General features: G+C 52.6%; 1 protein-coding gene across 16 annotated transcripts in view, besides 2 other annotated features; it reads left to right on the top strand.

The window, feature by feature from the left end:
* The window catches only part of ATP2B2 (ATPase plasma membrane Ca2+ transporting 2), a 384,094-nt gene that overhangs the window by 181,636 nt on the left and 180,139 nt on the right, over window positions 1-22,319 (top strand). For 6 of the 16 annotated variants that reach the window (NM_001683.5, NM_001330611.3, NM_001438646.1 and 3 more), the window contains exon 1: window positions 20,895-21,016. The exons of 8 other annotated variants lie outside the window; for them this stretch is intronic. The gene's annotated coding sequence lies outside the window, so the exon portion shown is untranslated. Of the gene's footprint in view, window positions 1-17,445; window positions 18,481-20,894; window positions 21,017-22,319 lie in introns of those variants that run through there. 2 more of the 16 variants (XM_047448199.1, NM_001363862.1) reach the window with 2 other exon arrangements.
* Window positions 20,906-21,572: an enhancer, noted in NCBI's record as "H3K4me1 hESC enhancer chr3:10546593-10547259 (GRCh37/hg19 assembly coordinates)". NCBI's record gives its function as "activates a minimal SCP1, AML or CMV promoter by ChIP-STARR-seq in primed H9 embryonic stem cells {active_cell/tissue: H9 hESC(primed)}" and the evidence as "EXISTENCE:reporter gene assay evidence [ECO:0000049][PMID:30033119]".
* Window positions 21,573-22,239: an enhancer, noted in NCBI's record as "H3K4me1 hESC enhancer chr3:10545926-10546592 (GRCh37/hg19 assembly coordinates)". NCBI's record gives its function as "activates a minimal SCP1, AML or CMV promoter by ChIP-STARR-seq in primed H9 embryonic stem cells {active_cell/tissue: H9 hESC(primed)}" and the evidence as "EXISTENCE:reporter gene assay evidence [ECO:0000049][PMID:30033119]".

The raw sequence follows: 22,319 nt of genomic DNA, 5'->3' as shown, positions 1-22,319 counted from the left end.
CACTGGCCAGGGAAATCTCTGAGGGGGCGGGATATAGCTTTGGAGGAAGCTGTCAGGGAACTGCAGAGCTCCTCAAGCTCCTTGCACCCCAAGGAACTCCTTAAATAGGGAATGATTGGAACCCCAGCTTCCACCAAAGCTTCCCTGGGCTTTGAGGACAGTCTGGGGGTCATGCTCAAGGGTCTTCTGCTTCTGTTGGCCGGTACACACCGTCTTTGCAGGCTTTGCTCTGTCTCTCCCACCTCCTGGCCCTCCCAGGCAGAGATGAACAGAGACAAAAGAGGAGGCAGAGGAGAGAGGAGAAGGAGAGGATGGGGTTTGCTGTAAGGAGAAGGAAGGCTCACACACCTGTTTTAATAATACAAATATTACACACACAATAATCCTCATCATTCCTATTTATTGAACACTTACTGTGCACCAGGCACTGTGTTAAGGACTTGATATATACTGTCCCAGTTCATCTTCACTACAGCCTTATCAAGTAGAAAATTATTATACCCACTTTGAAGATGAGTAAACTGGAAGGGTCTTATTCATCTACTGTGTAATGAATACAGTTGCGAAGCAGATGATACAAAACAATGACAGAGAATGAGTGAAATATAACAGGGAGTCCTGGGGACTGTGGCAAATTGGAGAACCTTTTTTTTTTTAATTGAGGCATGATACACATAGTAGATAAAGTGCACTAATTTTAAATGTACCACTTTTTACACGGGTTTACACTGGTGTAACCACCGCCCAGATTAAAATATTTCTTGTAGCCCAAAATACCCCTTCTGAGGTATTCGAATTTATTTTTTCCAAATAATATTCTGCAAAACTGTCCCAGCCGAGAGGAACCTAAGGAGACATGGTGACTAAATACAATGCAGCACCCTAGATGGGGACCTGGAAGAGGAAAAGGGTGTTAGGCAAAAACAGAGGAAATGTGAATAAAGTGCGGGTGTTAGTTAGTATCAACATATCAATATTGATTCATTGATTATGAGAAAGGTATCATTCTAATAGAAGATGTGAATAATAGGGGAAACTGAATGCAGGACAGACAAGAACTCTCTGTATTGTCTTTAGGAATTTTTTTGTAAATCTAAAACTCTTCTAAAACAAAAAGGTTATTTCAAGATATTGTACAGATAAGGAAACTGAGGCCCAGAAGAGCAAAGCCTCTTACTCAGGGCCCCACAGCAGCAGTGGACTAACTACAACCAAAAGGCTGGTCGGTGCTTTAGCTGCCAAGGGTGGAGTTAGGGGATGAGGGTGTCAGGGGTGCTGAGGTCTTCTTGAATCTGTAAGTGCCTTACAGCAGACTCACCTCTGCAGGAAGCTGGCTACACAGCTTCCCCTCTGCTGCCTCCTCCTGAACTGTCCAGGGCTGTTTGTTGAAAACCAGTTCTCCCACTGGCCTTGGCCCCAGAGGGAGTGTTCATAGGTAGCTCCTGTTCTGAGAGCAGGATGTCACCGTTCCACTCCTGCCAGTCTCGATGCAGGTATCTCTGAGCCTCCCATGCCCAGCACAGGGGTGGCATGAGCACAAGGTGTTGGTTGAGTGTTGGATGGATAGGTAAGTGAAAAAATGAAGGATGGAAGAAATGAATGGCAAGCTGGGTGGTTGAGGGGATTCCAGGGTGTTAGAGACTGCCAAGAGCATGGACTCTGCAAACAGATGGCCAGGGTCAAACCCTGACTCTCCCACCTCTAGCCAGGAGAGGTTACTTAACCTCTCTGTGTCTCAATGTCCTTGCCCCAACATGGGGAAAATAGTATACCTGTCCTTAGAGGGCTGTTCAGGTTAAAGGAGTTGATTGACATGAGGGAGGGAAGTAATAAATAGAAGAGGGAAGGAGAGCTGGGGAGATGATGAATTAGTTGTCATATTGAGAGATGGAAACTTGGACAAAGCCATAAGACTGGCCATTCTCCCAGAAAAGAGGAAGAGGAGCAGCACTGTACAATGGTTAGAGCACAGATCTGGAGGCAGAGCTGCCAGGGATCAAATCTCAATGCCGTCACTTACCGGTCATGTGACTTTGGCCAAGTGAGTTAACCTCTCTGTGCCTCGGCATGCTCATCTACAAAATGGGTGTGATAGCAATGGCACTCGCCTCAGGACGTGGCTATGAGAACTAAATAGTTGCCTGGTGTGGGTATAGTGCTTAGAATTGTACCTGATACGTTTACTACAACCCTGGCATATCATGAGTGCGTTTTAAATAAATAGGAAAGGTTTTGTGCCAGAAGCCCACCCCCTCCCTTGAAGAGGCTCCCACGTTCAGGATGCAGGTCCAGGCGTCACAGACTCACTTACCTCCTGGGTCCAGGGCAGAAAGTGCCCTTAATGAAGTCAGCTGGAGAGGGGATGACCTAGTGGCCACATGTTCATCTCTGTGGCCTCATCCGCCTCCAGCCAACTCTGGATGGGCAATGCTCACGATATTTTAAGAGAAGACAGAAATCTGGATTCTTATGCACAATCCCCCCATTTTTAAACATTGGCATTTAATGCAATTTTATTTTAAGCTCTGAGCAAAACAAACAAATGTATTTTCAGTGGGCTGCTCTCACAAGTAGCTGGTTTGTAGATTCCCTCCAGTCTAGTCCTGCCAGTTCACTTTCTTTTATTTTTTTTTTTTTCTGCATTTTAGAGAAGAGGAAACGGGGGCCTAGAGATAAATGCCTGGGCTCTGATATATTTGACCACTTAGTGGAGCCAAGTTCTCCTCTCCCCTGCTACCAGCCACATCCAGGATCCCCGAATAATCAAGCGGGGGAGGAAGCATCAAGGGGGCATTTTTCCTGTGAACCACGGTTTTTCCGATGGCATATTTGAAATATGATTTAGGTTAGCCAGACACCATTTGCACCATGTGTCAGAGGTGCTGCTGCATATAAAGCAGGAGCCTTCACCACTTCCAAAGCTGTAGCAAAGATTCGCAATTTATGGAACCCAACTTCACTTCTAGCCCTGGCCCAGCAGGCTGGGCACCAGGATTCCGCCTTCCATGAGCAATGAGGGCTAGGGTGGCCTGCCAGAGAGGAGTAAGTTCTATGGTGAAGGAAGTCACAAAGTAAATGCTAGAGAGGCTAACAAAAGTTGGGGGACATGTTCAGGAGAAACGTTTAAGAGTGATTTTTTTAATAGAAAGTTAAAAGCTTGTCATACTCTGAACTTGGATTGTTTTATTCTTTTCTATTGAAAACTGCTGTCTGGTTCCCACCTACTCAACCTGCCTGCACCTCCACCTTCCCATCTACAAAATGGAGACAAAATCATAACTCACTTTGTACAGCTTGTGATGAGGATGGAATATGACACTTGTGGAGGATTAAACAATAAAAACCAGCCATTGTCACTGTCAGCAGCTGCCAGCCCACCTGTTTGCACAAGCAGTGGCTCAAGAGCCTTTCACTCTTGGCCTCTCTTTACCCTCACTATCCACATCTGTGACCTTCACTTTGAAGAGTCCAGTGCATCTATCAGCTGTGGAGCACCTATTGTGTGCCAGGTCCTGTGCTAATTCTTCCACCTGTGTCCTCTCCTGTAGTCCTCAGAGCAACCCTGGGTGCCGACATCATCGTCACCATCTCTGCAGCTGAAGAACCTCAGGCTCTGGGAGAAAACATGAGGCATCCAAGGTCACCCCCAGGTGTCAGTGTGACCTTGAGCAAGCCCCATTACCTCTCTGAGCCTCCAGCTTCTTCATCTGTAAAAGGAGGTTCAGGACACCTGCCCCAGGCTGCTGTGAGGCTCTATGAGGTAATGACTTCAAAAGTGCACCATCAGCTGTAGATCCCAGACAAACGGATGGTGTGGATGTGAGTCCTTCAGAGGCCTACTCCTGTTCGGGATTCAGCACATTTTAGCAGTAAGGGCTACTGAGAAAAGTTATTTCAAGTGTCTTTTTCTTGGGTGGTTTCCAAACACATCTCCTTTCTCCAGCTAACAAGTCCAACACTGGCTTCAGCAGAAGCTATGCACACAGAAAGTTACTTCCAGTGGAATGACCAGGAGGTAGAAGGGAGATAGGCATGATGGTCACAGGGAAGAGAGGATCCCAGGGAAGGTCTCAGGCTGTGCAGTCAAACAGATATGGGATCAAATCCCAGCTCCTCCACTTACTAGCTGTCTGATCTTGAGACAACTAGCTAACTTCTCTGAGCCTCACACAGGGGGTTATTATGATGAGGGGGATAAGCACAGCAGCTGAGAAAAGGCAATACACACGTACTGAAAAGGAAGCCTCCTCAAATAGGGCACAGCAGTACACATACACGGGACCACGAGGAGCTGGAGGGTGGACACTGCACTTTTCATCTTGGCAACCTGGCTCACAGTAGGTACACAGCATACATTTTTAAAAATAAAAATTTACATTCATTTTCCTTTCTGCCTTGTGCCCACCCACATAATCCCCCTTGTCTTTCAATCCCCAACCCCACTGTCCCACCTCTGTGAACTGTGAAAGAACACAGACTGTTACCTGACAAACGTGGGTTGAAGTCCAAACACTGCCCTGCCTGGCTGGATAGTCTTGGATAAGTTACCTCCCCTCGCTGACTCTCAGTCTCCTCTTCTGTAAATGGGCTAATATTGCCTCCCTAGCAGGGTTGCTGTAAGAGTTAGAGATGATGTATGTGGCTGGCGTGGCCTCTGACACAGAGTAGGCATTCTGAAAGTGGCAGCAGAAATGCTGTTGTTCCTTCCAAATGTAGCCCATGGCCACCTCTGGCTCTCCACTCACACTCAGACTAACTCCCTAAGGAGTTCACAATCAACTTGTCTCTACATCTCAGATATCACAATACAAGCACCTTGGGTGTATATATCTCTAAAGAGTGACATTTCACCTCCGTTCCCACAATCACTTTACACAGTTTCCACACTCTCGCTGCTTCTATATTGGTTGGACTTGGAGGGATTAACAATGTCCTTAAAACACCTTAAAAAGGAGCATCAACAGACAAATCATTCTGGATCAAGAACAAATGGCCCAGAGATTAAACACCTGTCCATAATCACCGACATTATCCACTGGCTATGGGTTTATTCATGCCCATGAAAGTTCCCAGACTGAAAGTTCATGAATGAAGGATTTTCTGGTCCTGGATACCATCTTATCCTCAAAGATAGCCTGCAAACTCTTCACTGTTACTTGACTGATTGTTTATGGGGGCTTCTCTGATGCCTCCAGATCAAGGCTAAATTCTTGAGTGGTAGGATTGGCTCTGCTTCCCTGTGAGGATTTGTGTGGGGGCAGGTGCAGGGCTTGGCAGGAAACCCACTAAGGTGGGTCACACAGGGGCTGGGGTGCCACAGAGGGACAATCTACTCCTTGGGATGTGTGCCCCGGAAGTCTGAAGCTGGCAAGGGTCTCAGGCAAAACCTTGTCCAATGTCTGGCTAATATCCATTTACCTTGCACGAAATGCAGACCCTGTTCTGGGAGCCCCCTCCTCAGAACTGCAAACAGAGTCTGCCCTGTTATTAGCTGGAAAAGTCTGGCTTTAACACCTGACACTGTGGGAGGATTGCCACAGCCACATGCAAGGGGCTTGGAGAGTTTATCTGCAGTGACATAGTCTAGTTGCCACTCTGAACCTGCAGTGATGTGTGGCCTGCCGAAGCCACGTATGCCATATAGTTTGTTCCAATACAAATCAAAATAGAAAGGCACTCTTTTTTATTTGGGTAGGCAAAGAAAAAAAAGAAAAAAAAAAAAAGAGGCCAGGTGTGGTGGCTCACGCCTGTAATCCTAGCACTTTGGGAGGCCCAGGCAGGCAGATCACTTGAGATTAGGAGTTCAAGACCAACCTGGCGAAACCCCAGCTAAAAATACAGAAATTAGCTGGGTGTGGTGGTGCCCGCCTGTAATCCCAGCTACTCGGGAGGCTGAGGCACAAGAATCACTTGAACCCAGGAGGTGGAGGTTGCAGTGAGCCGAGATTGTGCCCTGCACTCCAGCCTGGGTGACAGAATGAGACTCTGTCTCAAAACAAAAAAAAAGTAAAAGAATATTTTTATAATCTCTAAGTCCACCCTCTCTTCTTCTGCATTCATTTAGGATTTCTCTCCACCCGCCTCCCACAGTGAGGAGGTGAGGGGTTCTCCCAGCCTCCACTATTACCTCGCAAGGGCAGGAGTCTGATCTTAAAACCGGCACCCCCCTCCCCTGCTGCTTGCTCCAGCACTGGCTCCAACACCTGGGCCTCTCCCTCCAGGCCCCTGAGCTAATTACAGGCTTCCCTAAATCATTGTAAGGAAAAGCTAATTAAATCAGGGTTGGCCATTAATTTTCTGGCTAAGGACAGGCAGCCGACACCTCTCTTCAATTCCAGAATCCAGAAACCATGGCTTGGAGCTTCCTTTGAGGTTGGGAATAGAGTTTTATCTGTTAGGGCTGATTTTAGGAAGAGCAGCATGTCCCAGTGACCATGAGGGATCAGGGTGGGGACCTGAAAAACTGGGCTGCAGCCAAATGTATATGGTAAAGGGTATGAGGAGGTGAAGTCAGATGTCCCTGCACCCACCAATAGCAGTTGTATGATGTGAGAAAAACCCCTGCATTCGATCCCAGTCCTGCCACTTGCTAGGCAGGTATCCTGGTCCAGAAGTCTCCACATGCAAGGCAGGCAGCATCAGTGCTGGCACAGAGAGTGGAGTGAGTTCTGAGCCAATGTTTGTTGAATGAACAAGTGACTGCTGAGTGCCTGGCTCAGTGCCACACATACAGTAAACACCCAAACAATATTTGTTCTCTTGTCCCTCTTGGAATCTTCTTTTGGAACTATAACATTCATGGGACGAGGTGGCTTAAGTTCCTAAAACCTTTCTATCAAAACATTCATTGGAAGCTTTCCTCCTTTGAGATCAAGGGTGAGAGATGTCAGAGGTGGGGTAGGGGCAGGGGACACAGGAACTGAGTTCTCCACTCCTAGAACTCCAACGCCTCTCACGTACCATCAGATGCCAGCCTGCCCTGCCATGCTGCCATGCGTCAGCATACCTCTCTGTAAAGCTGGGCACCTTGACAGGAGTCCCAGCTGTGACTCTTCTCTCTTTCTTGCTCTGTTCCCTCATTAGCCAAGTCCTCAATAGCCCCTTGAAAGGCCCGGACATTGCACATTGCACCTTCATTATTCACTCCCGCCTCGGCCACTTTATTGCAGACGGTGAGTGATGTGCTTAGCTAATTCAGGGGACCCCAAAGGCAGGAAACAAACAGGGCAAATCCACAGTATGGCTGAGGACCACTCTGTGTGTCAAGTTCAGCACAGTGCCCGGAGTACAGATTCTGGAGTCTGGTTTGAATCCCAGCTAGGTGTTTGACCTTGGGCAAGCTGCCTAACTTTTCTGTTCCTCAGTTTCCTCCTCTACAAAATTGGCATGATGATACCAGTATGTCCCTTGTGGGGTTGTTGTAAGAATTAAATGAGTTCATAATGTGCCAAGTGTTTAGACAGGGCCTAGTGCACAGTTGGTGTTCCATGAACATTAGTTATTACTCATGATCTCAGAATGAATATCTCAGTTTATCTTCACCACAGCCCAGCCTGGCCGGAGAGTATGATGGCTCTTACTTTACAGATGAGGTCCAGGGAGGGGAAGCCACTTTCCCATGGCCACACAGAACAAAATCCCTGCCCCACACCTGTCCCCGACAGAGGGGAGACTGACAGCACCTGCCGGTGAAAGCGGGGCCCGGGGCAGGGCAGGGGTAGTGAAAGGAGCTTTCAAAGAAGGGCCAGGCCTCCCTCAGAGGCATGAGTGGAGTTGGGAGGTGGCTATAAATACGCGAGGCGAGGGGCTCTGTAACTAGGCCAGGAATGTGTGTTAGTCATTGAGGTCAGCACGGCCGCAGCGGCGCTTGGCTGGGAGAAAGCGGATCAGGAGTGGGCTCAGGTGAAGCCAGAGAGCTGAGGCCAAGGAGGGGTTTTGCTGGGGCAAGAGTGGCACTCTCAGCTTGGGGGCATGCTGGCACCCCCAGACCTTTGTCATGGGACAAGGGCAGATTCCCAGGAATGCCTCCCCTATCCCTTCTAACCTCCGAGAAATCCTTCTGTAGTCCAGATCGGATCAAGCCTCCAAGCTGCCTAAACCCACGGTCCTGGTTTCCAAAGGCAGACGCGAGTCCGCATTTTGGAGGGGGGCAAGCACATCCTCTCTAGTTTAATACCTGTGCACTTACTTTGATGTGTTAGGGGAAAAATACAACTGGCAAGGCAAATCCATGATATTGTGACTATGAATGCTTAAGATAACACTAAGTAGAGAGATACATATGTTTCTAAAAGGGAGGTGATTTCAGGACAGATGCAAAGTATATGCTAGAACTTGCAGACTGGCAAACATCATTACTGGAGTTTGAGGGTTTCTGGTCCACAGACTAAATGCAAATCTTTTTGCTGTGAGGTTTCAAGCCCTCCCCACCCCAACCCCACCCTACCTTCATTCTTGCTGTGCCTGCTACCTGGAATGCCTCACTGGCAAAGGTGAAATGTGCTCCTCCCTGCAACCTGCACAGGCTGCCCAATCCCCCGTCTGTCTACTGCCATTTCCCACACTGTGTGAGGTCATCCTATCTGCAGCCATCGCTCCCTCAACGACAGGGAAAGCAAGCTCTGTGTCTGTCTTCCTACCTGCTGTGCCCGGCACAGTGCCTAGAGCCAAGCACAGGCCCAGGACGTGACACCCAGTTCACATCCTGGAGCTGTCACTGCCTGGTGCGAGACTGTGCATGTGCAAGGCTCTGGGCTCAGTCACCTCCCCATGTATCAGATGGGGATGACAAGCTTCCTTCTCCAGTGGGGTTGCACGGATTCAGTGAGTTTACTCCACCTCAAGGCTTTCTTAGCCCGGTGCCTGGTATGTTCTGGACACTCCACAAGTAGTGGCTGAGTAGCAGTATCATCAATGCTATTGTCATTATTAAGGGCCAGTGGATATTCATTAAATGAGTCCATAGTGTTATAGGCTGAAGGGGAGAGAAAAAAGAATGGAGCATGTATGCATTTAGGCTGGAGAGAAAATTCTCAGTGGCTATTTTCCCAACCCCTCTCATTTTGAATATGGGGAAACCATGGCCCACACTGCATCCCTGGGACCAGGACCCAGAATATTTGTCCTTCAGTCTATGGTGCTCCACCACCACCTCCCTCCCCAGGCTGGGGGAAGGGGAAGGGGTGGCCGAGGCGAGATGCATCTGCCCAGTGTGACACTTGCAGGTTCCCCGCCCCCAGCCTTCCTCAGCTCCTCGGTGTAGACCCAGTCGACCTGGTTAGGAGTTCCAGGGCTGTGGCCTGCACCGAGCTGGCAGGAGAGTCCTCACTTCACCGAGGCAGTGAATCAAAAGGCTCATTCTTTGTAGACTCCTCAGATAGGTAGAAGCAGACTTGACCTTTGTCGTTTTGTTATTTTTAGCAGAGCAGGCAAGGAATGATAAAAACCTGTACAGGAGCTGGCTATAAATAGCATGCCTGTGGCTTTTTTTAAGAAACACACACACACACACACACACATCTGAAAATTGTAGATCTAAACAAGCATTGCCCTTCAAAGTAGAATAACAGCATTAGCATGACACTTTACAATCAGCAAGCCCATTTAAGCTGTCACTTCAGCTCACCGTACAATTCCACAGGGTGGACACTTCCATCATCTCCATTTTGCAGATGAGGAAACAAGGAATGAAGTCAGCCAGGAAGGCTGTGGGCACGGCACCTGGCACGTGGCGAGAGCCCTGTAAATATCACTTTCCTTATCACTGAATCTCCGAAAAGTTGAGTAACTTGTCCAGTGCCACGCCAGGAGAAGGAAGAGAAGCAGGACAGATGCCAGGGCCACCTTTCTCCAAGTCCATGAGTCCCCTGGCTGGGGCTGAAGGAAGAAGAGTTAGACCTGGAAAGGTCAGAGGAGTGGCAATGGATGTTATGGGGACAATGGGATGAGAACTGGAACGACAGGATGGTATCTGAGGTGCTGGCAGCTAAGAGGGAGTGGCTGTTTGGGAAGTGCCTTTGGGGTCAGCAACAAGAGAGGAAAAAGGAGGAGAAGAAGATAGAAGATCGCTGGCCAACAGTTTTTTAGGACAATGCCATGCCAGGGTCACCTCGTCCGGCACTGCCCTCCTTTGGGCAGAGTGGGAAATGTCAGTAGGCTCCATGGTGGGAGGGCTAAGAGCAGGTTATCAGCACTGGGATGAGAGCCGACAGAGGCCCAGGGGCTGGGGCCAGGGCAGCCTGCAGCAGGGAGGAACAGGTCAAAGGCAACTAAATCAGAAAGGGGTCCTGAAACTTGAAAGGTAATGAACTCCAGGTAACCATGTTGCGGGCCTGCCCAGGGTTCTGTGGTGTGCTGGTAAGTGTTTCACAACCAGCTCTCAGGGAGGTGGATGTCCTGCTTTCCAGTGCTTGCCAATTTCTGTGGTGTCAATGCTCCCACCTTGGCAGATTGTAAGCTGCCAATATGAGATCACTGACAACACAATCGGCTCTCACAAGTCAGTATAAGCAACTCCAGAACAAGACTGCTGCCACACCATGCCACACAAGATGGAGATACTTACGTCCTGCTTGTTTCAAGGGAAAAGAGAAGGGGCTTACAGGTAGTTTTTAAGCTACCATTAATTGTGCATGTAACACATGATAGGCAAAGTATTTTACAGGCAGTATCTCAGTTAATTCTCAGGACACAACTCCAAAGTAGATATCATCACCATGTTACTGATGAAGAAACCAGGCTCAGAAGGGGGAACTGACTTGCCCAAGATCACAGAGCTCAGTGAGTGGTGGAGCTCAGACTTAAGCTCAGGCCTGTGTGAACTCAGAGCCTGTGCCCCAGACATATACCACCTGGCCTCTAGCCCGGGTAGTTCTGGGACCTCAGTTGGGGCTGGGTTTTCAGGCAGAGGCTGATGGGTGGGTTCCTCTGCAGGGCTGGCAGCTGAGAGCTCCCACCAAGTCACAGGGGAAATGGTTACCACCCTTGGGGGAGGTCCTGAGAAGATTGAGACACTCCCATGGGGAGAGAGCAGAGCAGGAAATGACCCTCTTAATGCTGAAGAAATGAACGAACGATATCTTCAGATTCCCTCTCATTTTGTTTAGATCAGATTGTCTATGAATTAAAAGTGTTGTCACCTTTGCAGAATAGAGATGAAAAAGCAAGCTAGACATCCCTGAACACCCACTATGTGCCATGTACATATGTATTACTCATTTATGCCTCCCAACACTCCCATAATTGCAGGTATTGTTAGCCCCACTTTACAGATGTATTAATAGAAACTGAGGTTCACATTGGCCAAGTGACTAGCACAAGGCCACCCAGTGGTAAGTGGCAGAGCTGGGCTTCAATCCCACATCTCTTTGATGCCCAAGCCCCTGCTCTATGCTCTGTGTCCCCCAGAAAGAAACAGCACCTTGTATCTGAGAATCTACTTACAGTTTACAGAGATCCTTCCATACCCTTCTTTTATTTGGTTACTGCTAACCAGCCCCTGGGGAGGTCAGGAAGGCTGGGGGGACAAGGTCAGCACTCTCCCGGCCCACTGCGGCTGTCTTGCCCAATAACCCCTGATCTAGTGCTCTTCCAACCCCCTGGGGCCACCTGCAGGGGGATGTGCAGTGAGAGAGGTGGCCCAGCCTTTCAGGAAGTCTCATCCATAGAGGGCCTGCAGAGTGGCCACTAGACTGGGGCTTTCCCCGCTGCTGGTGGCAGGCCTCCTTGGAGAGCCTATGCTCTTTGGAGCTGTGTCTGATGAAGATGAGCCCTGAGCAAGGTAGCCCCACATAAGGGGGGTTCCTTATGGGGCTAACAGGCGGCCCTGGAGTGAGCACTTGCCTCCAAGCCCTGGCCTGGCTGCAGTGTGCTCAAGGCCGGTGGTGACCACTCTGTGGGCCTCAGGATCCCTATCTGTAAAATGGAAAGCTAGGGCTGGACACAGGAATGCAGCGGCACCTCCAGCCCTGATGCGCCGCAAGTCCACATAAACCAGCCCCAAAGGCAGATCCCAAAGGGAATTCCCAGAAGTTTTCTGGGCCCAGCATCCTCTGGGGAGTATGTGGGAGATATGACACCCTTGTGGGTCTAAGGAACCCATCAAGACTCCATCAGCATCACCATCTCCCAAGGGCGGCCAGTTCCTGTCTGTCCTCCTCCTTCAGGCTTGGCTCTGGCCCTCCATCCCACCTCTTCCCTGCTCCCCTCAACCACTCACTGGACACCCTGGCAGAACCCAAGTGTTCCCCAGACCTATCACAGGGTAGGGAAGAACAGGCAGGGACTAAGGAGCCAGCTGCCTGAGTCCAAATCCCAACTGCACTTACCAGCTGGACAACTTTGGCCAAGTTGCCTGACATCTCTGTGCCTCCATTTCACCACCTGTAAAATTAGGGTGATCATCAAAGCCACCTTAAAAGGTCTTTGGGAAGAACTGAATGAGTCAACACATGAAAAGTTCTAAGAACAAACAGAACCTGGCATGTAATATCATGTCCCCGTCTCAGGGCCATTTATCATTTGCGGGCGTGTCCCCTCTTCCGTCTCTGCATCCCTCCTACCCAGCTGCCCTGGGGGGTTGGGAAAAAACCAGGTTCTATCAAGCAGGGCTACCATTAAGGTCAGTCAAGGGAACTTCCCAGCCCCTGGAGGGAGCACTGGATTGAGAGTCCTGAGCCTACAGCTTTCATTCAATTGCCCATGACCCTGGCCTCAGTCTCCCCTTATGCCAGGGTGCCCCCTCAGCCCCCTGCACATTCGCGACTCTGTGAATGTCTACTGGCTGTTCTTCTCCTCCCAACTGTGGCCCTGTGCAAGCAGGGCCCCTTTCCTCCTTGCTGATGTGTCCTGGGCTCGGAGTCCACCCCAGATCACAGCACATTGAGTGGATCATAGGACCTGCGGAAGGCAAGACATGACTGTGCTGCACTGCCGCATTGCAGATGCTGTTACACGCAGGGCCCTCACCGAGGGCTTCGTGTTCATCTTCGGGTTCCATCCTGAAAACCCTTCCCAGCTGCCCCCCTTCCCAGGGTAAGGACAGAAATCTGTACAGTGGTCCACAGGGGCCCCCACTGCCTCTCCTGTCCCTTGCCCACACTTTCCCCCAGCCATCCGGGCCTCCTTTTAATTCATTGAGAACTGCTAAGCTTTTCCAGTCTCAGGGCCTTTGCACAAGCCACACCCTTTGTCGGCAACACTGCCTCTCCTCTTACCTACTGAACTCCCACTCCAGCCTGCAGACCCCAGCTCAGTCATCACCCCCTCGAGGAAACCCTCTGTGAGGCTTCCTGCTCTTGCCAGAGACACCGGGGCCTCCTGCTGAGCATGCTCTCACCCCTCTGTAAATACACTTTGGTTTGTGTGATCATTTCATTTCATGGCTGTCTCTAAACCCTCTTGAGAGCAGACACCATGGGTGTTTCTGCTTACCACTGTATTCTCAGCACCTAGCACAGAACCTGGGAAGGAGATGCTCAATGGGTATTTGTGAAATAAATAAGTCGATGGAGAAGCAGGAAGCACATGGCATCGTGCGCATTTTACAAATGAGGAGCCTGAGGCCAGAGAGGTTGAGAGACTTGCCCAAAGTCACACAGCCCATCACGGTAAAGCAGGGATTTGAGCAAGGGCCACCAGACTCCAGCTCCCAAACTCTTTGCACCACTTCGGAATTGCCGCCTGTGGGTGCAATGGAGGACTGAGGCAGAGTCCCAGAGGGTGGGGCTGGAGTGACAGGGAAGGGCTGTGGTTGTTCTGAGACCCTGGCTGCCTGCAAACCTCACAGGGAGTGAGCCCGCAGCCCCTCTGCTCCTCTGCAAGCCTTCCAGGAAAGATCTAAGCTCTCATTCTAACTCCAGGTGTGTCATACTGGGTTTGTTAGCTCCACTCTCTAAGTCTCAGTTTCTTCATCAATAAAGTGGGGGTGATACTCTCCACATAGCAAGACTGTTGGGGGCAGACAGTGTGTGTGTGTGTGTGTGTGTGTGTGTGTGTGTGTGTGTGTGTGTGTGTGTGCGCACACACTTTAGCACCCAGGAATATGCTCAGCAGAGGTAGCTGATGTGGCCCCTGTGGCCTCTGAGCCATTCAGGCTGGACATGCAGGCCCCTGGGATGACCACATTTTATTCCCTAACTTCTTACTGGTCATATTCCCAGCAGTGTTGGCCACCCAGTGAGTCAGCAGTTAGGCCTGCCAGCTCACAGCATTCTCAGTCGTCACCCCTCTGCTCTAGGAATCCTCTTTCCCTGCTGGGTCCCCAACCCTCTTCAGCAGGAAGACGACAGAGAGATCACAGGCTTCAGGGAAGACAATGCATATCTGGATCCTCAATCCTGTGCCACAGAGCTATGCACCCTTGAACAAGCCACACACCCTCTCTGGGCTCGTTTCCTCACCTCTACGTTGAAGACTGATAACATCAAATTCTCCTGGGGTAGTAGTTAAGAGCCTGGCACACAGTAGGTGCTCAGCAAATGTCAAGTTCCCTTTCCTCTTCTGACATTCCTGGATTCATCATCCCCACCCGCTCCCTTTCCTCCTTTCTTCACCTCTTCTTTCTTCAGGGAGGCAGCCTTTCAGCAAGAGTGAAAACACACACACGTCAATGTTAGCTAGGGACCCCAGTACAGGACCTCACATTCAGTGAGAGGTGAATAAATATCTGTTGCCTGAATGATCCAAAGAAATGAATTACGAATGGCGGAGTGTCAGGTTGTAGGTAGCTTGGAGGGGCCATTTAGGAATAGGGGCTCTCCTTCCTGGGTGTTCAACTCACCTTGAGTCCAGCCCTGGGCTCAAGCACGCTGGTCCCAGTTGGGACATCTCTGGGCAGTGGGATCTGAGTGGAGTTGGGGTCTCCTTTTACCCTTCCCAAGCTGGGCATGGGGAGGGAGCCCCATTCATTGACAGCTCAGGAAATAGCAACTCCTAAGCCAGGACCCCTAAATGCGTCCAAAGAATATTTCCAGAGCCTAAAGAGATGCAAACACCATCCAAAACTACTAGCAGAATTGCTTTTTCATTCAACAAACCTGCATTTATCAGTTCAATCAATATTTATTGAGGATCTTTTCCCAGTGCTAGGGATAACTCAGGCAAATGAGACCCAGTTTCCTGTCCCTGGGGAGTACCCCAGCCAGATGGACAACACAGATGCATATAAAAAGGTTAATTGCAAAAAACTCTTCTTGGGGCATGGGGAAAAGGGGGACGGAGGGAAAATCAAGGAAGGCTTCATGGAGGAGGGGCTGCTGGAGCTGAGTCTTGAAGGATCAGTAGGAGTTCTCCAGGCAGAGAAGTGGAAAGGGAAGGCATCCCTGGCAGAGGGGGTGGCACATGCAAAGACGCAGAGGCACGGAAATGCAAGAGTGTCTTTGGGAGCAACAAAGACCCACTGTGGGGTCTGAGGGTAATGGGAGCAGTCTGGAGTGGTTATTTGGGCCTCATGAGCCACAGTGAGGAGTTTGGATTTGATGCTGAGAGCACAAAGGAGCCAAAGAAGGGTTTGGAGGAATGTAGGCAGCTCCCCAAGGCTGCAGGGAGTTAGGAAATGGCCAGGGGATGGCAGGGGAGGAGGGGGGAGGACAGTTAGGAGTCAGGATTGATGGGCGGGAGTGGGCAGCATGTATGACTCCGCATTACCAAGGAGGTATTAGCTCTGAGGGGCAGCGCAGATGAGACCATGGCCTTGTGCCTGGGAAAGGCAGTCTGCCCCAGAGAGTCCTCTGAGAGTAGCTCCTGCTTCCCCAAGCTCTGCGTTCTTCCAGGAGGAAAGGCACCAGATCCCTCATTGTTTCCACAGTAACACTGTGAGCTCATGGCTCTGACCTTGGCCTCTGGCCTTGCAGAAGGGAGGCAGGGTCAGCCATCACCACTCACCTGCCCCACACAGGTGGGAGCCTAGGGTGGACCCTCACGGGGCTAAGGTTTTCTAAGCTGTGTGGCCGGGAAGATATGCCCACTGCTTTGGGAAACCTAGGTCCCAAGCAGTTCCAGGACCCAGATTCACCCCACCTCCCACAGCGTTTCTGGGCTCGCCACAGGGCCTCCTGCAGTTCCTATTTCAAGCTCCAATTCCCCTACTCACTCTGTGACCTTGCGCTACAATGTTTTACCTGTACCTCAGTTTCCTCATCGGTAAAATGGGAATAAAAATAGGATCCACCTCCCAGGGTTTTGTGAGGAACACACGAGGTGTGTGCACAGAATGCCTGGCACATAGTAGGATGTCAGTGTGAATGGTGGCTGGCCAGAATTCGCCAGAAGCCAGGCCTACAACCTCCTCCCTGAGGGAGCAAGGACCAGTAGGAGGAGGGGAGAATTGGTGACCTGCGTTCAAATCTCAATAGACTAGAGACCAGACCAGCCTCAGCCCTGCAGATGCTATCTGGGAACCCTTATCTACCAGCCAGAGGAGTTGGAAGCCACCTACTCTCCGCCAGCATTTTCCCTGGGGCCTGCTGGAGACTCTCACCTTCTGTTTCTTCCACTAATAACAGTTGCCATTCTCCTTTAACTTGCAACCCCGCCAAATAGGTATTATCATACCCATTTTGCAGATGAAAAAAACCTGGGACTCAGGGAGGTCGAGTCACTTGCCCAAGGTCACACATCCTGTAAGTGAGAGAGCTGGGAGTTGGACCCAGGTCTGTGTGGCCACAAAGCCTCCACTCGAGATCTGGTTGGCTGAGGGAGTTTCAGGCCTTGGTGGGAGTGGGGAGTGGATGCGAGGCTTCCATGTGACTGGAGAGGAGATTTCGGGCAAGCCAGCCCGTGTGGTCCCCTGGATCCACAGTCCACGGCCCGTCAAGGTCTGGGGCTAGAGATCCTGAGTTGTGTGCTTCAAACTTGGGTAACTTTAGGCAGGCGCAGAGAGAGGGGCCTAGGGTTTGAGTGGGACCCTCAATCTTGCTTTGGTCCTCACTGGCTCTGTAACTTTCACGTAAGGCCCTGTGGTCTCCAGGTCTCAATTTTCTTTTCTGTAAAATGGGAAGAAGCCTGGGCTCTTTGAGGGTGATCTGTGGGGGTCAGAGGAGACAGGAATGTGAGAGACCTTTGGAAATACCTTCTTATCCCCCGGGGAACCCAGCTGACAGCTCTTTGGGGCAGCAGTGACCTGAGAGCTGCCCCAGAACTCCTACCCAGGTGTCTACAGACCCCGAGCCAGGCAAGGCAAGGGCAGGGGTAGCCCTCATCCATGCTTCCCAGAAAGAAGAGCAAAAACAGAGAGCCCACGTCTCATACCGAAGACACAGCTGGCCTCTAATTACATTCAGTCCTCTCCCCTCAGACCTGCCTGGACCTACCTCCTCTATTGCCTTCGTGCAGAGAGCCTCCTCTATTGCCCTTGTGCAGAGAGCCTCCAGCAGCCTGGGCCAAGTTCTGTGTCCCCATTCCTAGACAGACTGACCCTATTCACTCACCCTGTGTCTCAGCTCCAGGACCCCTCCCCAAGGGAGAAAAACATGGTCTGGCCAACTAAACACAGAGTAAAAATCAGATTGGCTGGCTCCTCCTTCCGTCCCCCTCCCCTATGTCTCATACCTTTCCCTAACCCTGACTCTCAATCGGTGTCCACCATAAGCCAAATCATGCTGGAGGCAGAAGCTATCAGTAATCCTCCCAGCTGGCCTCTTGCCTCTTTCCCCCTCTTCCCTGTGGCTGACCCTGACCTGTCATTTCCAACCTTCCTGGAGTTGCAACACTAGTGCCATTGTTTGTCTAATTTCACAACACCTCTGCCTGTCCAATACCCCCTGCCCCCCAACACATCCTGGAAGGCCAGGCCAGATGACCCAGGTGTATCTGCTGCAGGAAGAGAAGGCAAAGGGGACGGGGCAAGGGACAGATGTCTGCAGCCAGATTCCACCCTCAAGAATGACCTTAGGCAAGCCCTGATCTTTTTCTTGAGGCTTCGGTTTGCTGAACTGTAAAATGGGAGAATTGGATAGGAGTTCTCAAGGGTCCAGCAGACTCATTCAAGCCTTTACTGCACCATCTAACACATGCTGGGACCTGAGACCTGGAATGCTGGAGACATGTCTGATGTGGTCACAGCCCAGTGAGGGAGACAGACGTGTAGACCATCACAATACAGTGTGGTCAGAGGTAGAACAGAGGCATGAACCAACTCAGTTGGTGGAATCAGGAAGGACTGTCTGGGGAAGCAGAATTTGAGTTGGACTTCGAAGAATGAGTAGGGTGGGCCTAGAACTGGGGTATACCCACAAGGAAAAACCTTCAAACTTTGCTGTTCAATATTTGCACTGCCTCAGGAGATAGGGGCATCCAGTCACTGCGGGGTGGATGCAGGCGCTGAAAGACATGGGATCTGGAATGTCAAGGAGATGGGAACTCGGCCAGGTGGCAGTTCTAGTCTTAGGGTCTGAAAACCAAAATCCACAACTGCCTGAGAGTTTGGCTGCTAGTGTGCGTTGGTGAGAGCCCAGCCCGTCTCAGACAGGGACCACCGGGAAGGTAAGACTCAAGACTTGGGAGCGGACGAGTGTCAGGGCTCCCAGTGAGCCCACACTCATGATGGCCTGCGCATGCAGGCAGCCCTGGGCTTGGAGTCCAGAGGCCTCCGTCACAAGTTTGGTCTACTCTTTACTGGTTGTGCCACCTTGCCCTGGCCACCACATCCCCCTGAACTACACAGAGCTTCCCCATCTGTACCTTGGGTGCTCACGGCAGCCACCCCAGAGGTAGTTGGGAGGATCAAATGATTTACTGTTTTGTAGGTGGCCTTTACAAACTGTAAAGTGTGCCGGACACAGAAGGCAGTGTGATTGTTGAAATGTGTGGCTCATAACAGGCTGCTTCTCGGGCTATTTTGTAAGCAGGGAAAGCAGTTTACCGCCAAAGATGTTGAAGTAATAATGGTGGGATTCCTGGCACAGACATGTAGGCTGGCAACAGATGGGAGGTGCAATGGGCCTTTCCGCCTCTGCCCGTCTTTGCCCACCCTCGCTCCAACATCTCGGAACAGCTTTACACGGGCCTGTTTTGGGGAACGGAGAGCCTGTGGGCCTTGGGGAAGGGCAGATGCTTGGCCCTGGTCCCTGGGGTGGAGCTGACTAGGGACTGCTGACTTAGAAGACCACCTAGAGGGGTGGCCAGTGGAATCCCCCCAACTACACCCCTAAGAGGGGTAGAGTTCCCATCTGCACCCGCAAGATGAAGCAGAGATGAGGCTGCTTTGGAAGCCCCCAGTCTTGGGCTATTGGTGTGGGGTCGAGAGCCTCCCTGAGGGGTGTCCTGGGCTGCTCTGTCAGAACCCCAGCAGGGAGCCTTGCCTGGCCTCTGACTCACACCCTTGCCCCAGTGGAGGCCAAGGCCTTGAATGACCACCCGGCCCTTGACATCGTAGCTTCGCAGCATCCTCCCTGCGTTGAGGCCACCCTGCGGGCTAAGGGGCAGGTGGGCACCCTTCCATGGGGCTGGGGGCTGAGGAGCAAGGAGGTCTCAGCATGGCCTACTGGTGGGAGACCCACCTCAGGCGCTCCCAACTGTCTCCCTCCCGTGGCCCCTCTGCACGGCCGGGTTCTGATTTTGGTGCAGTGCAGACTTTCAGCTTAACGAGACAAATTGGTATTCTGTGCCAGCCCAGGGATGGAGCGGCAGCTCGGGACGCTCGGGCGGGCAGCTCAGAGGTGGGCAGGAGGTGGGGGCAGGGGAAAGAGGCAGCTTCTGCCTGGAACTGCCTCCCGGGGCCGCCTCCAGCCCTGCCCCTGTCCCCCATGCACCCCTCCACCCTGACAGGTGCCCTGAGACACTGGTCCTGAAGGTCCTTCCACCTTCAGTGCCCTCCCTCCAAGCAGGGTACCCCTCCTGGAGGGGGCAGGGCAGTGGAGGCCAAGGCTTCAGAATTCTAGAGAAGCCCCTCGCCCCCGGTGACCTCCTAACCTTGCTCTTAGGGCTCTCCTCCCACCCATCTGGAGTTGAAAGAGCAGCAAGTCTGGCAGAGATTAGGCAGGAAGAGGTGAGCAGCTGGCTAGGGGCTTCCAACCCTACCGACTCCTCACCCGGGGTCCCTGGGTTCCCGTGGAAGTGTCAGTCAGCCCACAGTCGGCCTGCAACTCATCATAGATGTCCTGAAGATTAGGTGGGTGTACAGACATGCAGACACCCCTGCTGGTGGGCACCTTCTTGAGGCAGGCCCTTCTGCCAAGCCAGCCCCCACCACCACACCCCCCCGAGGGCAGGTGGGGTCGCACACAGGCAGGGCGGGTCGCAGGGGTAGCGCTTCAGGGCAGCAGAGAGCTGCTGCGGGCTCAGCTCCACTGGCCCTGGAAACACAGATGTGTTTAAAATGTGTTGAGTCGACTTCTCCCCATTTGCGACCTTTGCCCCTTTGCCCCCCAGGTCTGGGGGTGCCTTGACTGCAAAGAGGGGGGCCAGAGCCCCTGACCAAATAAGTCCCCCAGAAAGCAAGGGACGACTTGGGGCCATTTGAGCAAAATCCTCCCCTCTCTGCTCCCGTTCTCCCCACCACCACTCTCAGGACCCCCTTCCCTCCAGCACAGCCCAGCCCTACCCTCTCCGTGCCCTTGACATTCCCTCCTGCTTCTGGGGAGCGGGCATATTCCTGGGACTCTGCCAGCTTCGGTTCCTCATGATCCCACGGGAGGAATTAAAACCGCAAACAACAGCGTGGTGGTTCGGTCCACACACCCCCCCCGCCCCCCACTCTCCTCCCCCGTGCCCCCTCCAGAACCGGCCCTCCCTGTGTCCCTCCCTCCCTCCCTCCTCCCGCCCCCATCCCCCAGCCTCCGGCAGCGGCAGGGGCGGCCTCTGCCTCCCCCGAGATTGCATTTTGCCGGCGAGATGCTCTCCTAGAACCGGCGCCGGCGCCTCCGCCCCCCGCCCCCCACCCGCTCGGGCAGGATGGTACAGTCTGCAGAGGGGCCCGGGCACGCTGGCTGGGCTCAGCCGCGGCACCAGCTGCCGCACCGCGATTACGGGGCTGCCCGCCGGGAAACCGTGCAGGATTGGTGGTGATTTTCATAGCCAAGTAAGTACCGGCATCCCCCAGCATGAGAAAATAAAAAATAAAAAGCGCCCCACTCCACTCTCCCCTTCCTCCCTCACCCATTTTATTTTGTTTCATTTCATTTGATTTTTCTCAGTGCTGATGGTGGTGGCGGTGGCAGCGTGGAGGGGGGGTGGGAGCAGGGCTTGTTTATCTGGCAGCAGCCGAGGCTGCACTGGGAGCCGCCGCTGAGGGAGACACTAGTGTGAGGGTCCGCGTGTTGTGGGGGACGGCTGGATGCTGGGGACTAGGACAGGGGGGCCTCGGACAAGCGGATGCCCAGGGTCTCAGGTAGATTCCGGCAGCCTCTGGACTGCAAATGCCCCCTAAGGATGTTATGCAAGGGCCAGCAAGCTGGTGGCAGGGGACAAGGTTCTCTTCTCTCTGAGCCGGTCCCAGGGAGACCAAGAGGACTGGAGGGTGCCCGTTGCCCACCCTGGTCAGAGTCCCAGGAAAGAGGCAGGAGGAGGCCCCTGTGAAGCGTCCCTTTGGTGGGGTGGGCAGCTGTGTGCTGGGACTCATTGGGTCAGGCCAGCCGGGTCATGTGGTGGCAGGGACGTGTTCCTGGGTCCCCTCCATGGCCAGGAGGGTGGCAGGAACGGGTGGCCAGGCCATTTTGCAGCAGTCATGCTGGGTGGTGGAGTCGGCACCCTCTGCCCAGAAGCCCACTTCCTAGGCCAGCCTCAGTGGTCTCCAGCTGAGGGATAGGGCACCTGAGGCTCCTCCCTGCCCCCTGCAGGGTCAGGATGGGAAAATGCAGCAGGGGGCCTCAGGACTCCCTGAGGGTGGGTTGCGGACAGCAGCAACCCCTTTCTAGCCAAGTAGCTATTCCACACCACGGCTGTCCTCTGCTCACCCAGGTTGGGGGTTGGGGGTTGGGGGGGTGCTCTGGACTGGCCTGCCCCAATCAGGCAAGGGCCCTGGGGGTCTCGGGCCCTCCATGCAGAGGCCCAGCCTGGCTCGACCTTCAGAAGGGTAAGTGAGCAGGCAAGCCCGACCAGCCGGCAGAGGGTCTTAGTGCGACGCTGCATGCCCTGAGCCCAGCGTGGAAGGGGCTCCCTCCTCTCCTGCATTGCTCTCCGAATCGCTGGGAGGAGGCAGAGCTGACGTTTGGGGTATTTCCAGGATCAGCGGGCGCCATCCGGAGAAATTCTCCTTTGACGTGTGCAGTAGGAGGGGGCTTGGAGCGCAGGCCTTGGGGGCCTCCGCCTGTTAACTTCGTTGAAGGAGCAGTGGCAAAGAAGGGGCTGCAGCTCTGGGGAGTCCTGTGGGGGGTTGGGGGTCC

This window comes from Homo sapiens, chromosome 3, assembly GCF_000001405.40.
Source record: "Homo sapiens chromosome 3, GRCh38.p14 Primary Assembly".
In the NCBI taxonomy this organism is placed as follows: domain Eukaryota; kingdom Metazoa; phylum Chordata; class Mammalia; order Primates; family Hominidae; genus Homo; species Homo sapiens.
The sequence above is the reverse complement of the archived record's forward strand: the minus strand, read 5'-3'. Positions and strand labels throughout refer to the sequence as shown.